This window comes from Homo sapiens, chromosome 3 (genome assembly GCF_000001405.40).
Source record: "Homo sapiens chromosome 3, GRCh38.p14 Primary Assembly".
Taxonomy (NCBI): Eukaryota; Metazoa; Chordata; class Mammalia; order Primates; family Hominidae; genus Homo; species Homo sapiens.
In genome coordinates, this window is record NC_000003.12 from 130,467,494 (window position 1) to 130,485,525 (window position 18,032).

Genomic DNA, 18,032 nt, shown 5'->3' on the forward strand with positions numbered 1-18,032 from the left:
AAGGGAAACTACTGACCAACTACAGAACATCATTCACAAGGATGTGAACACAGATGCAAAATTCTAAAGAAAATGTTAGCAAGTTAAATCCAACAATAGATTTGTAATGAGATAATATGGAATTTATACTGGAAGGCAGGGCTCATTTAACCATCAAAAATTATCTAATATAGCATTTCACTGTTAATAACTTCACCCATGGTGGTGGGGTATTTTTCTGGCATTTTATTTCTATATTAGGCTTACAGCATTAATACAGGTTGACTCATTTGTTGTTGTGAGAATTAATGTAAAAGTATCTAATAAAGGGTTGAGTAGAAATGGAGATCAATAAATTTCTGGCAGTTAAAAATCTACTTTTTGCTTGATTAGGTTCACAAATTCACTTCTTTCATAGAAGCAAAGAACATTGGCCATCTACTTCCTGTCTTTCCAAACTGGCATTTCCTGTTGACGCCTCACCAATCAGCCATCATTCATATGATTGTAGACAGGCTTCATGATCCCTTAGGCTTAGAGCAGAGCTACTTGAAGTGCTCATCTGCAGCAAGATAAGAAGCTTGGCTCGGAATGTAAATCAAGGCAATGTTTTCTTCAAGGAGAAAGTCTTGCTATGAAAATAAATAAATAAATAAATGTCAGCTGAACTAATCAGTGTGCTTAGTAATTTAGTTGACTTACATCATGGTGCAAACTGCTTACCTTAAAATGGGCTGATGAACTGTTTGCAGGCACTTTGAGTACCAGGTTCTTAGAGTATGTCATATCTCACACAGCATTTAGATTCCAAAATCAGCACTTGTTTATACTTGCTCTCATGACATTGCTCTATGGTGCATACTTTGAACACATATATAAAGGTTTTTGTGCTTTTGCTACCAATAAATGTAACTTTAATATCTATACTTTCTCTTGAGGTTATTACATATAATTAAATTTCATGCACATGTGTACTTCAAGTTTTTTAGCCATGTGGAGTACATTAAAAATGAGTGTTTCTCAACTTGCATATTAAAATAGCTGGAGGATAAATCAGTCCTTTCACAAAGATCTGAGATAGGATAGCAAATGGGTTTTTTCTTATGTGACAATACATGTCAAATGGTAATGGCTCTGCATGCGCTATGTGGGTACAGATTTGGAGGGTGCATCTGGGAACAAGCAATGTGATTATTGATGTCTGCCATGAGTATGGAAATGCAGCATGGTAATAACCTCATGCTGTGTATTTGCCATCTATGACTAGGAGCTCCAAGCTTATCTTTCCATTAAAAAGAATGACTTGAGTTATTCTGTTGCAGGACATGAAAATTATGGCAGAAAAGAAGAACCAGATCATACTTATGAACCTGGAGATGTCTCTCTTCAAGAATATTACATGGATGTGGCTTTCCTCATAGATGCTTCCCAAAGAGTAGGAAGTGATGAGTTTAAGGAAGTAAAAGCTTTTATAACCTCAGTGCTTGATTACTTTCACATTGCCCCCACTCCACTGACCTCCACCTTAGGAGACAGGGTTGCTGTCCTGAGCTACTCTCCTCCAGGCTATATGCCTAACACTGAAGAATGCCCTGTCTACCTGGAATTTGATTTGGTTACTTATAACAGTATACACCAAATGAAACATCATCTCCAAGACTCTCAACAGCTCAATGGAGATGTTTTTATTGGCCATGCCTTGCAGTGGACAATTGACAATGTCTTTGTAGGAACCCCCAATCTGAGGAAAAACAAAGTTATCTTTGTAATATCTGCTGGCGAAACCAACTCTTTAGACAAAGACGTCTTAAGGAATGTGTCTCTGAGAGCCAAGTGTCAAGGCTACTCCATATTTGTGTTTTCCTTTGGCCCTAAACACAATGACAAAGAATTAGAAGAATTAGCCAGCCACCCTCTGGATCATCACTTGGTCCAACTTGGCCGAACCCACAAGCCAGATTGGAACTATATCATCAAGTTTGTCAAGCCATTTGTCCATTTAATCAGACGTAAGTCATTAATTCTCTTTGATTGCTTTTGCAATAGATTTAATGTTTCTGTGTACAGTCCATCAGCAGACTTAGTAAAATGATCCTCACTTCAGTTAAGAGTGGTAGAGTATAAGTGAGTAGGAGGCAGTAAAAAATCTCAGAGAAAATTCCCAGATTTTTTGACCATGAGCCTTGCTGCTGTGCTGCCAAAGTTTTAGCCAGGAAATCCTCAAATGGATGAAAAGTGCCCTTTAGCCCTAACCCGTGAGTGTTTACTATGTGGCAGGTTCTTTAAATTGATTGTGTCATTTAATCTTCAGTGCAGTCCTCAGAGGAAAGTATTCATAACCCCATTTTGCAAGTGAAAAGACTGAGATTCAGAAATGTTAAATAAAGTGCTTAAAATCTCACAAGTAATAATTAGTAAATTCTAGACTCAACCCCTCACATTCTGACCCCAGGGCTATGCTGTTGTCTAGTAAATCACACTTTAATTACTAAACCCTTAGCAAGGTGTAATGGTGTAATAAATAATATCACACTGACACTGCCCTCCACCTACTCCAAGGACTTCTATTTTGTCTTGTCATTATAAATTAACCTAAGTTCTGACTTGAATTCTTATGAGCCATAGGGACAAATCTCCTCTACAGCCTCTATGCCAGACAGCTGGTAGGGATTTTTTAGGGTGTCTTTACACAGTGGGGCTTTAAGGGTGGCTGCCCCAGCCTCTGCCCATGTGTTATGACTTTAGACATGCATATAGCAGCACATCCAAAACCTTGTAAGATCAAACAAGTCCTAGCGTGTGCTGGGAATTAGGAATGTGGCAGAGGCTACTTTGAATGGTCTCTGCAGCTCCTGTAAACTTACTAGAGAATCACAAGGTTGCAGGTTTTCTGGCATGCATAAAGCCCCAGGGCTTACACAGTTCGCAGGAATCTTGGAATTTAGCAGTTATGTTTAGTAGCAAGTAAAAATGTGCCTTCTCCCAACCCGAAGATAAGTAGGGCAGACAATTTCAATAGCTAATAGAGTCTTCTCCCAGAACTTAAAGTATAATTAAAAAAAAAATAAAATATAAACATTTTTTAAAAAATAGTCTTCTAGAAAGATCCTCCTTTTATAGAGAGAGAAAGAAATGATAGAAAGAATTTAGAGATGTCCTTAAAGTATATCACAAATTTGTGATAGAGCATTGGAATTATTTATTCAATGACTGGCTGTATCTTCTTGACTTTGCCAAGAACAAAGAATTTCCATGTCAGAGTGTGCCTATTTTGTGAAGTCCGTTATAAAAGTTGTTCTTGAAAACACTGCCAACCACGTGAAAACATGATCTGACTTTGGGTGAGATAATAATGTAGGTGGGTAAAATTTAGACTAACCAGCCCACTCTCTCTCCAGGTGCCATCAACAAATATCCCACCGAAGATATGAAAGCCACATGTGTTAACATGACCTCTCCCAACCCAGAGAACGGTGGCACAGAAAACACTGTATTGTGAGTTGAGAAATTCCAAGTTTGGGTAATACCACAACTGGAAACAGTTCTTAAGAAAACTGTGAAATGAATAGCATTTTAGTTTTCAAGATCCAAGTGTGTGTTTTTGTGTGTGTGTGTGTGTGTGTGTGTGTTTTAAATGCTACTCGTTTGTGATGATAGCATAGGTCTGAAATTAATCGCAGATAGAACAGGACTTATATTTGAAAGAACTTTGCTTCCATTTCTGTTTCTTTTACCAAAAGTAGCCTCCTATTAGTAACTTCTCAGTAAGTAGATAACATAACTCCAATATTGGGTACTGCCAAAACAGAAAACTTATATCAAAGATTCCATGTAACAATTTTAGAGCAGAATAAAAACATAAAAAACAAAACAAAATATTTGGCCATTTAGAAAGCAAAACACATATGAAGATTGGCAGGAAGGATTCTTTCAAGTTTGATTTTACAAAGTACAACCCTAAGTACTCAATAAAAATTTAATGATAGAAATTATACTGGTTTGGAATTCTAAACTGCGGAGACAAATGTCTAAGTTTCCTTCAGAATATTAGAAAATTGCACAAGTCAAATTTCATTCATGGACTGAACTTGGACTATTCCAATCACATACATAAAATGGATTCCTCTTATATTATCTGGTGGTATTCACATTTAATCTTGCAGGGGACTTGGCTAACTAATTTTTTATCTCTCTTCTCTATTACCTCAGACTTCTTCCTGGGATATATGAAATAAAGACAGAAAATGGTGATCTGTTTGATGAATTTGATTCCCAGGCACAACATCTCCTTGTATTAGGGAACAATCATAGTAGTGGTTCTGAGACAGCTACTGATTTGATGCAGAAGTTATATCTGCTCTTTTCAACTGAGAAACTGGCAATGAAAGACAAGGAAAAAGCACATTTAGAAGAAATTTCAGCTCTAGTGGTTGATAAACAGCAAGAAAAAGAAGGTAATCGTGAGTACCATAGAGCTGAAGACCCTCAAGTACCTTTGTTTGGATTTTCCCCTGGTGGAAGATGAGCAGTTAGAATTCACTGGGAGAGGTAGAGATGACAGGATGAGGATAAAAGAGGGGCTTATCGTCTAAGGATCCAAGGGAGATAAAACTTCAGAAAGGCAAAAAATAGTCTTTGTTGACATATTCGAATTACAAGCAGGTATAAATGCTTGGTGTGGAGTCAGGGAATGGGGAAGTTGGAGGGGCAAGAACAAGGATAGCAGGTCTCAAGTAAGCAGGAGCAGTCCTGCATCCTTGTGCAAAATCGGGGTGAAGGGGAACTGTGCAAGGAGCCTCCAGAGTTTTAATACTCGAGATCTGCTCTCTCCCTTAACAACTAGGGTTTTCTTGGTTTGAGATGTAGGCCTTTAGCTGAGCCTCAGCCTCAGTGGGACCTGGAGAGGACAAGGCCACCATGGTTCTGAGATCTGTGTGGAGACTGTGGGCAGCTCCATAGGCTGGGTGGAGAAATGGACCTACAGCTAAAAGCAAAACAGGAGATGGACAGCCGGAAGCTATTGGCTCTAGGGCAGCGATTCACAGTCCTTGCTGTGTCCCAGAGTCATGTGGGAAATGATTTTAAAATAAATATTCCTTGGTATCTACTAAAGCTGAAAATATGTATATCCAGTGACCCAGTAATTTTACTTCATTGTATATACCCTATAGGAATATACATATTAACCAAAAATCATGTACTAAAATGTTTATAAAAGCACTATTTGTGTTGCCCCAAAGTGGGAACAAAAATGCTCAACAGCAGAATTAAAAAATAAATTTTGGGACATTTATATAATAAAATCCCATATAGGGGCATATATGTATACTTCAAAAAAGTTTATATATGTGTGTGTATACATATATATATATATATATATATATATACACATTTATAAATATAGATATAGTTAAAGCTATAAATATATATACACACATACATAAACATATATATAGTTTTAGATATGGGTATAATTGTAGATATATCTATTTGTAGAGAGAACAAAATCAGCAAAATGATGGAAAATAAGAGAAGTGAATATAGGAAAAATAGGAAAAATACAGACAAAAAGAGAGAGAGAAGATAGATATAATAAAATACAAATTAAATATAAGTATATTGAAATATATGGTTCTCATCAAAATGGAATAAGTTCATTTTTGTTTCAAAATGGAATAGGCCCATGTCACTTATCTTTTCCACTGATTACAACTGAAAATTCTGGATGAAATACAAAAAGCAACTACCTGAGGGCTCTGAAAAGTAAGCAAAAGCAAGTATATTGTGAAGGGCCATGAGTTTCCCATTTTCCTTTCTCTTTTCTTATGTGGCTTTATGCTGAGGGCAAGCCTAAGTACAGGAACTGTGTGGCAGTGAAGTAGATGTCTAAACCTCATTAGAAACCCCATATTTTTGGCCAGAAGAACTAGGAAAAGAGGCCCCATGCATTAAAGAAATCCTGCTTTTTTCCCCCTTTTCTGTCATGGGTTTGCTTTGAAGGCAGGCATCAGTTGGCAGCTAAGTGGAAAGCTAGACACTTAAAATTAAAGAGAAACCCTTTCTTTCTTGTTGAAGGCCAAAAGAGTCAGGGTCATGATTAACTCAGTATACCACTGGAGGCTATATGAGTACAGAGCAAACTGTTCTCATAAATGAAGAATGTTGACAAACTGACAAACTGCGTATGCCACCCAGAAGGAATGCTGAGGGCAGTCATGCCCCAAAAGCAAGTGTTTCTTGTGATTAGGTACATCTGAAGCCTGTTAGTAATAATATGAACCTGTGATCAATTAAGCAGCTGACCAATCGTTACCTCCTCCTCCCTGCTCTTGCTACTCAATAAATATGAAGGGTGGTGGAAGCTCAGGGGCTGCCTTTGCTCACTAGAAGCAGGGAGCTCTCTTCTTCTTCCCTGGTTCCCCTTCCTTTAAAGGTTTCTTTTGTCTTAAGTTTTCATTTCTGTGTTTGTCCCTTCCTTCAGTCCCACAATGATGGTCTCAAGCAGTAACAGTAGTAACTTGTAATGACATCTCAAGTAGTAACAGCAGTAACTGCCATAGTGACAGTCTCAAGTAGTAACTGTGGCAGTCTGTCACATTTATGGCCAGAGAAACTGGAAAAGAAGACCTTGTGGGCCAGCATGTGTGGGTAACCTTAGGGAGAAGAGAGCTGAACAAAGGAATACTCTACTTGGAATTAGGGGACCTATATAAGTCTCAGACCCTTCCCTAAACTGTACATGTATGAGAAAGACCCTAAAAAGGATAGCAAAGGCCCTAGAAACTAAACTGTGACTGCTACTCACAGACAATCAGACAGCACTTGCATGCTGAACCTGAGATGATTGCCTGCTAAAACAAAAATATTCTACAGAGAATCATAACAGGACTTAGAGTCTAAACAACATAATATTCAAAATGTTCAGGATACAATCCAAAATTATGGAACATACAGAGAACCAGGAGATGTGAACAATTCTCAAAGAAAAAGACAACCAACATGCCAACCTCAAGGTGACTCTAATGTTAATGATCAAAGACATTAAAGTAGCTATTATAAGTATGCTCTATAGGTAAAGGTAAATAACTTGAAATGAATGGAAAGATAGACATTTTCAAGCAGAGAAATAGAAATCACAAAAAAGAACCCAAAGGAAATTTTAGAAGTAAAAAATACAATATCTAAAATTTTAAAACATTCACTGGATGAGCTTAATAGCAGAGTGATGATGAGAGAAGAAAGAGTCAGTGAGAGGCTGAGTGCAGTGGCTCACACCTGTAATTCTGGCACTTTGGGAAGCTGAGGTGGGCAGATCACTTGAGCCCAGGATTTTGAGACCAGCCTGAGCAACATGGTGAGACCCCATCTCAACAACAACAAATTAGTTGGATGTGGTGTCATTCACTTGTACATAGTCCCAGGTACTCAGGTGACTGAGGTGGAATAATTGCTTGAGCCCCAAAGGTCAAGGCTGTAGTGAGCTATGATCATGCTGCTGCACCCCAGTCTGGGCAACAGAGCAAGACCATGTCTCCAAAAAAAAAAAAAAAAAAAAAAAGGAAAAGAAAAGAAAAGAAAAAGAGTCAATGAACTTGAAGAAAGATTAATTATGCAATTATACAAACTGAAGAGAGAAAAGATTGCGAAAAAGGCGAACAGAACCTTGGAGGCTTGTTGAGTATCAGAGGGTCTAACATTTGTTTCACTAGAATTCCATAAGGGAAGTAGAAAGATTCATGCAGAAAAAATATTTTAGGAAATAATGACCAAAAATCCCCCCAAATTGGTAAAAGATATAAATGTACAGATTTTAAAAGCTAAAAAAAAAATTCAGACACATCATAATCAAACTGCTGAAAACCAAGGATAAAGAAAAAAAATATTGAAGCAGCTAAGAAACTATGAGACAAAATAAGGGAACAACTCAAATGACTGTAGATTTCTCATCAGAAACCATGAAGGCTAGAAGACAGTGGAACAACTTCTTTTTTTTCTCTTTAATGTGCTGAAAGAAAAGAACTATGGACACAGAATTTTATATCCAATAAAGATATCCCTCTCCCTCTGGAATAAAGACAAAATAAAGGCATTCTCAGATGAAGGAAAATTAAGAGAACTTCTCACCAGCAGACCTGTCCTAAAGGAGAAATATGTGACAGCCAGGGAGTTGGAGTGAGGTCAAATGACTGGTGACCCAGTGGGCAGGAGACATACTGGGCAGGTGAAATTAAGGAAGGGACACAAATGAGAAATCAAATGGGTGATTGAAAGGGAGGAAGGCTGAGTAAGAGAAAGTGGTGAGCACCAGACACAGCTTGCTCATGTGAATAGCTGTACTGTCTGTGAGGTAATTTCATACCCATTATCTCATTGGATTCCCTTTAAAACCCTTGTGTGGGAGACAGGAATTAATATCCCTAGTACACAGATGGAGAAACTGAGGTTCAAAGAGGTTTAGTGCCTTGCCAGTGACTCTGTTTTGGTAACTTCTGATTCAGTATGCTTTACCAACATCTGGAGGAAGGAATAAGGGGTAGATCAGAAACAGAGAGGGTGGGTTGAAGAGGAGGTATATTAGTTTGCTTGGACTGCCATAACAAAGACCATAGACTGGGTGGCTTAAATAACATTGATTTATTTTCTCATAGTTGTGGAGGCTGGAAGCCCAAGCAAGGTGCCAGCCTATAAGGTTCTTGATGAGGGCTCTCTTCCTGGCTTACAAATAGCTGCCTCCTCTCCTTGTCCTCACATGATAGAAAGAGGATCTTGGTGTCTCTTTCTCTTTTTATAAGAGTAACGGTTCCGTAAAATCAGGGCTTCACCCTTATGACCTCATTTAACCTTAAATGCCTCCTTAAGGGCCCTATCTTCAATACAGTCACATGGGGTTAGGGCTTCACTGTATAAATTTGTGGGCAAGAGACACATTTCAGTTTATAGCAGGGGATATAATTAAAAATTACTCACAGGAAAGAACCCTGTAAATTGGTGATTCCCAAACTTGTCTATACATTAGAATCACCTAGTTATTTTTTTGAAAAGTCCAAAGTCTAGCCCACACCCCATATCAATTAAGTCACATTCTCTAGAGGTAAGACACAGGCATCAGTTCTTTTGTTTTGTTTTGTTTTTTGAAGCTCTCAGGTGATTTCAATGTGCATTCAAGTTTGCAAAACACTGCTATAAATCCTGGTTGAATCATTCCTGTTAGACAGCTTTAGATATCTCAAGGTGATTTGCTGCTGAAAATAATAAGGTTGGTAGAATCAAAAGGATTATCATCAAGTGTGCGTCTTTGTTGTTTGTTATTATTCTTCATTATTTTCTCCAAAAGTTTTCTGCATTTTTCTGTTGTAATGATATTATATACATCTAGAAATAAATGATGTCTTTAATTCTTTTTCTCACAGATCTCTAGCCAGCAGCTTGGGTTAGTTATATTTGGCCAGCCCTGCTCCCTGAAGCCAATCTGAGTCTCTTCAGAAAATATCAGCTTGTCTTTTTCTTGCACTCATGAAAGCTTAATGACTGAGAATCACTGAGTTGTACTTTGTCTTTTTGCAGATAAGGAAATGGAAGCTACAGACATCTGAAGCATCTTACCTAAGAATTCAGTAATTAATCCAATACTTTCGTCATAGTGATTCATACTCTATGTTTATAGAACGTAAGTTTACCTTAAAGTTAGGCCATGAAACAGAAATAATACAATCTATCTCTGAGTTGTTGAAAAGTTGAAGATGATGCATATAAAGCTCAAAGTACACACTATGCGTGGAATATAATCAACTAGTATTATCCCTATTTGAATTATCTAAGTTTGATCATCTATTTGACAATTAAAAATATAAATCCATTATATCAAATTATCACTTTATGTTGTTTTGTTCATGTTTTGTTTTCCTAAAGAGATTGAACTTTTCTTTTCACCTGTCCATTTGTTTGAAATTTTCATTATATATTTCTACTAAAAGGACAGATTTTCTGTTTGCTTATTATAAAGTACATTTTCAAGAATTTAATGTAGATATTTTTAAGTGGAACTGTATCTTTTTTCTTTATGTCAAACCCAAGGCTTGTTTCTTATTTATTTTTCCAATATCAACTGTAGTGTTTCTCAAAGTATGATCCCTGGACCAGCCACATCAGCATCGTCTGGGAACTCACTAGAAATGCAGATTCTTGGATTGTACCCCAGACCTACCGAATCCGAAATTCTGGAGGTGGAGCCTCCAGAGGTTGAGAACCACTGACATAGTATTATAAATATCAAGTCTAAATCAGACTTCTTTAATAGGGGTCCTTTCATTGGATATTAATAAGTATTTGGGAAAAAATCATTTCTCTAGAAATCACTGATAAGTAGATATGGGTTTTTCTGCAGGACTTTTTATTGTCTTTAATGGAATATTAAATTCTATTAATATTCTGAGAAAACAGCTATAATCAAACCAATTTGGCCACAGAATCTTTTAACAGCATTTTATAGGGCTAGTATTTTGTAGAAAACACTTCAGGAAACAGGAGTTGAAAGAGTTAATCCTGGAGCCAGCTGTAAATTTGAATCCTATTTCTGCAATTACTGGTCATGTGATCTTGGGCATGTCACATTGCCTCTCTGAGCTTCCATTTCCTCATCTGCAAAATGGGGATAATAATATAACCTATGACATTGGCTAATGTAAGCAGTAAATGAGTATGAAGTGCTTCAAACAGCTCTTAGCATAGAGTAAAAGCTTCATAAATGTTAGCTGCTATTTAAAATCGTGATCATGTTGATGATGACAGTGATGATAACAAATGATATCAGAGCTAGTGGTTACGGTGAAAAGAACACCCCAGTGCCAGTTTTAGTTCTGTGGCTAACTGGCTTTATGATCTTGAGAAGTCACCTGATTGCTCTGGTCCTAAACTTTCTTCTCAGTGTAATGAAAAGCTTGGATGAGGCCAGTGTTTTTTATACTGGGGTATACATACTGGGTGACACACAAAGATTTTCCAATGCATGGATTTCAAAAGCTAGTCTTAAAAGGCTCCATCTACCTGAGAATGTATTTGTGTCTAAGGAATCACAGAAGGGCATCCTTTTCTGCATCCCCTTTTAAAAACATCCCCCAGTTCACACACACAAAATGGCACATCTCTCAGCCATTCTGAATCTAACTGCGGTGCTTTGCCCCAGATGTAAAACCCCTGTAGGGAGGTATGTGGGGTGGGGTGCAGTGGGGATTGTCAAACCAGGAGTCATTTAAAAATATTCTATCTGTAGTCCTTCTTTAATCAAAGCACCATAAACCCAAGTAAGGCTTCAAATCTTTTCGATCCTGTACATACTTCTGTTAAGGAAGAAGGGTGTTGCTAGAAATGGGGTATTTGAACTCATGTTAGAATGTTTTGAATTCAGGTGCATCATGGAGTGAGGGTGATAGCAATGATGATAAATTTCATTTTGTAATCTGGCCCCTCCCATTTCCCAACTATTGTGAAAGGGTGTATATCTCCTGACTGGGATTTCCATGAGAACAAACAGAATGTATATTGGAGATATATTGATGAATAATGCTATGGCCTGAATGTTTGTGTTCCCCCAAAGTTAGTATGTTGATGTCCTAACCCCCAAGATCATGGTATTAGGAGGTAGGATATTTGTGATTAAGTCGTGGGGGTGGATCCCTTATGAATGGGATCAGTGTCCTTATAATAAAGGACACAAGGGGACTCCTCTTCCCTTCCACCATGTGAGAATTTAGTGAAAAGGCACCACGTTTGAACCAGAAAGCAGGTCCCTCACTAGATGCCGAATGGGCCAGTGCATTGATCATAAGCTTCCCAGCCTCCAGAACTGAGAGAAATAGATTGCTGTTGTTTATAAGCCACCCAGTTTATGGTAGTTTGTTATAGCAGCCTAAATGGACTAAAACAGAGAGCAAGCATTCTTTTATCAGGCAAAACAAAAACAAAAACAAACAACAACAAACAAACAAAAACCACAAAACAGAAAACAAACAAAAACCCACTATGGAAAGAGCTGTATCTTGGAATAGAATCATAGTAAGATATCATCACAGGAACCCCCAATACCATAATTATTTCAACTGAGAGATGAGATTAGACTCTTTCAAAGGCAGAGCATGTGTGGATTGGCTTTTACAATAAAGACCAGTTCTTCCAATTAGGCTACATGGGGAACATTTCCCATAAAGTGAATGAACTAAATTGAAGCTTCAAAATTCTGAAGTAAAAACATATAGAAAAGATGATTAAAATATTTTATCAAAAAATATACTAATAATGTAAGTATCAAGTGTGCTTAATTTAGCAATATTAAACTTTTCCAAACATTTTAGTTTTTTGAGATAAATACAGTGCCTCTCAGTAAAAGAGTAACAGGTATAATTAATAGCCATTTGATAAATTTGATAAAGCACTTTTTAAACAATATTTCCCAGAAATTAGAAAATGTTGTCTAAATGACTGGATAACTGATTCTTTTGTAAAACTTTTTGAAAGATTACTGGGTGATTTTCGGGATATGATTCAGAAAAAAGTCAAATAATTGTTTGACATTGCTCTGATAAAACTCCTTCAAGATCCATCGATGTAAATAATATTTATCAGTGCTTAAATATATAACAATAGATATTAATAATTCTATCAATTCTGATATTAAATCTTGCCTTACTCTAGCAAAAACAGTAATATGTAAAAATAACAGGGAAAAACTATCCATTTTATTAATAAATGTATTTTGAACAAAAATGTTTACTTTTTGTCTTAATAGAATTACCAAAATTTAAATATATATGTTGTTTTGATAAATTCTAATGATAATTCATCTTTAAAAAGTGTTAATGTATAGAAGCTTATCGTCATAGAAAATAAGAACATACACTTAAATATATATATTTTTGCAGAGAATTATGATTAGGCAAATGAAATATTTTAAAGCATATAAACTTATTAGAGTTAGAATGAAATTCTATGGGGAAAGTGGAAGGGAAATACAAATTTAAGGAGAGAAATGAACACTATAAACTATCTGACATTTAAACATAAGCATGTTTGCATATATTTTTAGTAAATAATGGTGGACTCTGTTGGATAAGTTAAGAGAGAAATGTTAAGGTTTTATTTTTAAATGTCAGTTTTTATAATATGTCACAACTTACATCTTTTTCAACCACTTAAACTCATAACGAAAAAAATAGATATTTAAAATGTCCAAGGCAAGAAGTAGATGTTTTGTTTTCCTTTGAGGTGTGGCTGTAAGCAAAAATTTTTAAAGACAACTAGGCTGGAACCTCTCTAAGATTCTGTTTTAGACCAGCTTCCCCTGAATCCAACACAGAGTTGAGAATTTCTGTGCATGTGAGTTACTGAGGGAGTGCTCACAGGAGAACCAGTAAGGAAGGAAGCAAGACAAGGAAGGAGTGGAAGGCAAATAAGGGTGTCATCTCAGGCGAAGTCCCATAGAGGGCAGCTTAAGCCTGATCCTTCAAGGAAACGCAGGCGCCTAAATTAGGCTGCAGAGATTTCCTGAGCTGAGGCAAGAGGGTTAGGCTTTCTTTTTCTTTCTTTCTTTTTTTTTTAATCCTTTAAGTTCTGGGATACATGTATAAAATGTGCAGGTTTGTTACATAGGTATACACGTGCCATGGTGGTTTGCCACACCCATCAACCCGTCATCTACATTAGGTATTTCTCCTAATGCTATCACTCCCTTTGCCCCCCACCCCCCGACAAGCCCCAGTGTGTGATGTTCCCCTCCCTGTGTCCATGTATTCTCATTGTTCAGCTCCAACTTATGAGTGGGAACATGTGGTGTTTGGTTTTCTGTTCCTGTGTTAGTTTGCTGAGAATGATGGTTTCCAGCTTCATCCATGTCCCTGCAAAGACATGAACTCATTCTTTTTTATGGCTGCATAGTATTCCATGGTGTATATGTGCCACATTTTCTTTATCCAATCTATCACTGATGGGCATTTGGGTTGCTTCCAAGTCTTTGCTATTGTGAATAGTGCTGCAGTAAATATACGTGTGCATGTGTCTTTATAGTAGAATGATTTATAATCCTCTGGGAATATACTCAGTAATGGGATGGCTGGGTCAAATGGTATTTCTGGTTCTAGATCCTTGAGGAATCGCCGCACTGTCTTCCACAATGGTTCAACTAATTTACACTCCCACCAACAGTGTAAAAGCGTCCCTATTTCTCCACATCCTCACCAGCATCTGTTGTTTCCTAACTTTTTAATGATCACCAATCTAACTGGCGTGAGATAGTATCTCATTGTGGTTTTGATTTGCATTTCTCTAATGATCAGTGATGATGAGCCTTTTTTTCATTTGTTTGTTGGCTGCATAAATGTCTTCTTTTGAGAAGTGTCTGCTCATATCCTTTGCCTACTTTTTAATGGGGTTGTTTTTTTAAATTGTAAATTTGTTTAAGTTCCTCATAGATTCTAGGTATTAGCCCTTTGTCAGATGGATAGATTGCAAAAATTTTCTCCCATTCTGTAGGTTGCCTGTTCACTCTGATGATAGTTTCTTTTGCTGTGCAGATGCTGTTTAGTTTAATTAGATTCCATTTGTCAATTTTGGCTTTTGTTGCAATTGCTTTTGGTGTTTTAGTCATGAAGTCTTTGCCCATACCTATGTCCTGAATGGTATTGCCTAGGTTTTCTTCTAGGGTTTTTCTGGTTTTAGGTCTTACATTTAAATCTTCAATCCATCTTGAGTTAATTTTTGTATAAAGTATAAGGAAAGGGTCCAGTTTCAGTTTTCTGCATATGGCTAGCCAGTTTTCCAACACCATTTAACGAATAGGAGATCCTTTCCCCATTTCTTGTTTTTGTCAGGTTTGTCAAAGATCAGATGGTTGTAGATGCATGGCATTATTTCTGAGGCCTCTGTTCTGTTCCATTGGTCTATATATCTGTGTTGATACCAATACCATGCTGTTTTGGTTACTGTAGCCTTGTAGTATAGTTTGAAGTCAGGCAGCATGATGCCTCCAGCTTTGTTCTTTTTGCTTAGGGTTGTCTTGGCTATTTGGGCTCTTTTTTGTTTCATATGAAATTTAAAGTAGTTTTTTTCTAATTCTGTGAAGAAAGTCAATGGTAGCTTGATGGGGATAGCATTGAATCTATAAATTACTTTGGTCAGTATGGCCATTTTCACGATATTGATTCTTCCTATCCCTGAGCATGCAATGTTTTTCCATTTATTTGTCTTCTCTCTTATTTCCTTGAGCAGTGGTTTGTAGTTCTCCTTGAAGACGTCCTTCACATCCCTTGTAAGTTGTATTCTTAGGTATCTTTTTCTCTTTGTAGCAATCGTGAATGTGAGTTCACTCATGATTTGGCTCTCTGCTTGCCTATTGTTGGTGTAAAGAAATGCTTGTGATTTTTGCACATTGATTTTGTATCCTGAGACTTTGCTGAAGTTGCTTATCAGTTCACCAAGGTTGAAATGAAGGAAAATATGTTAAGGGCAGCCAGAGAGAAAAGTTGGGTTACCCACAAAGGGAAGCCCATCAGACTAACAGCAGATCTCTCTGCAGAAACCCTACAAGCCAGAAGAGAGTGGGGGCCAATATTCAACATTGTTAAAGAAAAGAATTTTCAACCCTGAATTTCATATCTAGCCAAACTAAGCTTTATAAGCGAAGGAGAAATAAAATCCTTAACAGACAAGAAAATGCTGAGAGATTTTGTCACCACCAGGCCTGCCTTACAAGAGCTCCTGAAGGAAGCACTAAATGTGGAAAGAAAAAACCAGTACCAGCCGCTGCAAAAAACAACAAATTGTAAAGACCATCGACACTATGAAGAAGCTGTGTCAACTAATGGGCAAAATAACCAGCTAGCATCATAATGACAGGATCAAATTCGCACACAACAATATTAACCTTAAATGTAAACAGGCTAAATGCCCCAATTAAAAGACACAGACTGGGAAATTGGATAAAGAGAAAGTTGGGCTTTCTTACTTCCTCCTAGGTTATTGATTGGTCAAGAGCTGCTGTGGAGAGAATGTAAACTCCAGGTGCTCATAGTGCATGTAGTTAAAGCAGGTCAAGTAGCTAACAGCAGTCCTCAAAGAATAATAGGTGCTGATGTTGGGAGCAAAAGCTCACATGGCAATGGTTGGGGAGGGAGGCCCAGAAGGGGAAGACAGAAAACGAAAGAATATTGTCCTAGAAATTAATGTTAAAAAAGAAAGATTAGGGGGATTCTGGGCAAAACCTTGATATTGTCTATTGCACACCCCTTCAAGCACCTGTTTAATAATACCAGCCACTAAATTTGCTAAACATGGAATGTCAAATCATTAATGTACCAACATTCTTCCAGGAAGAATTATGTCTATGATTCTCCTTATACATTGCTCATTTATATCTATTATCACATCACCCTGAGCTGGACTTCTATTTTGACCATTGAAAATGACAAAAATATTGTGTTTGTTTTATATGTGGCATATAAAGGAGTAGGCCCTGGAGGAACATTTTGAACAAATACAATGACATTAAAAGCAGTGAATATTGTTATATTTTGCAGATGGTGAAGATACAAGGTCATCATAGGAGAAAAGAAGATAGCTCCACTGACATGTATAATCCCATGTGGTTCTAACCAGAATGTATAATCATCTGTTAGAGGTACTGTGGTAAATGACAGGGACTTTTCACAAAAACAATTGGCTAATAGCATGCTAAATTTGTTCTCCATCTCAAATCTTGAGGAGAAGAATTTTCGGAGTGAAGACATCAGTAAGAAGACCTGACAAACCAGGAATGATTTCATTTCTCCTGAGAACTGGGGAAACCGACCTATAAGAGTTAACTTTTCTTTGAAAGCTCTGCACAGTTCAGGCATCAATTTTGATGATGTATCTGCCTGTAAAAGATTGTCATTATTTTCAACACATCTGTATCTCAGATTGGACTCCTCTAAAAGCATTTGGAATTGGAATTTCCTAGGAATATCTTCTACTAATTCTTAAAACTGGAAAGCCATGCCCATGTCATCGGTTCTGGGGTGACCCTAACATTTCATCTAGCAGTGATTGTCTTCTAAAACCCACCTGTCAGGCTGCTATGACCCATAGTTAATGCTTTCTCTTCACCAGGACATTGACAAAAGAATGGAATTGGTGAAAAAGAAAAAAGTGATAAGAGGCTAATTTTATGAACCATATTTTTTGCTGTAATCTTTTGTTTAAATTTTAGCAGCTTTGCTTTGTGTATACTGAATTTTTGCAGCAAAAGAATTACGGAAAAGCACAGATACTCTATATGACCAGAGATGTTCTTGGGAATTACAATGTAGCAAGAGATAATTTCTAAAATAAAAACAAGTCTGACTTGGAAGTTTGTTCTGTTCATTATTATTTAACTACAGTCTAACGCAACCCTAATAGAGCACCAGTAGAGGACTAAATATATTTGGAACATTTACATAAAATGTAAAATTAGCCAACAGTGAATTAGTTTTAAAAATCATTCAGTTTGGCTAAGGCAACAGGTAATTACCAAGTCAATGAGCATCTATTATATTAAAAAATGAAATTACTGTGTTAATGGGATAATACCATAGGCTATTTTGTACTTTTCCCATGTAATTTTTCTTGACCTTACTGTTGTTATTTGCATAATTTAAAAATAATCCAATTAATTCTAAGTTGCTGAGATTTTTATAGTAACCATTTATTGCTCTTTGGGAAGTTCCATATTCAACTCTACTCGTTTAGTAAAGTTTTGTTTTCCCCTAAGAACCCTGATAAGTGTAGGTGTGTGTGTGCGTGTGTGTGTGTGTGTGTGTGTGTAAACACATGCATGAAGAATACATCAGATACCTAAATCTGAAAATGACATGATTATCAAGAATGTGAAGCCACAGGAACTAATCCTCTGCTGATGGGGGTGTAAATTGTTTAAACAGCACTGTAGCAATATTTAGTTAGATGGATGATACACGTATCCTAAAACCCAGCAATCCCACTACTAGCTCTCTACAGCTACGTGTGAGAAGCTCTCACATATGTACGCC

General features: G+C 37.0%; 1 protein-coding gene across 3 annotated transcripts in view; it reads left to right on the plus strand.

Moving 5' to 3' along the window:
- The window catches only part of COL6A5 (collagen type VI alpha 5 chain), a 139,175-nt gene extending 121,822 nt beyond the window's left edge, over window positions 1-17,353 (plus strand). Inside the window, exons 38-42 of one of the 3 annotated variants that reach the window (NR_022012.3) lie at window positions 1,302-1,988; window positions 3,378-3,474; window positions 4,189-4,433; window positions 9,544-9,646; window positions 16,542-17,353. Coding sequence is in view for 2 of the 3 variants with exons in the window: in NM_001278298.2 (NP_001265227.1) it covers window positions 1,302-1,988; window positions 3,378-3,474; window positions 4,189-4,433; window positions 16,542-16,567 (1,055 nt within the window). In the remaining variant the exon portion in view is untranslated. The remainder of the gene's footprint in view (window positions 1-1,301; window positions 1,989-3,377; window positions 3,475-4,188; window positions 4,434-9,543; window positions 9,647-16,541) is intronic. The other 2 variants (NM_001278298.2, NM_153264.7) reach the window with 2 other exon arrangements.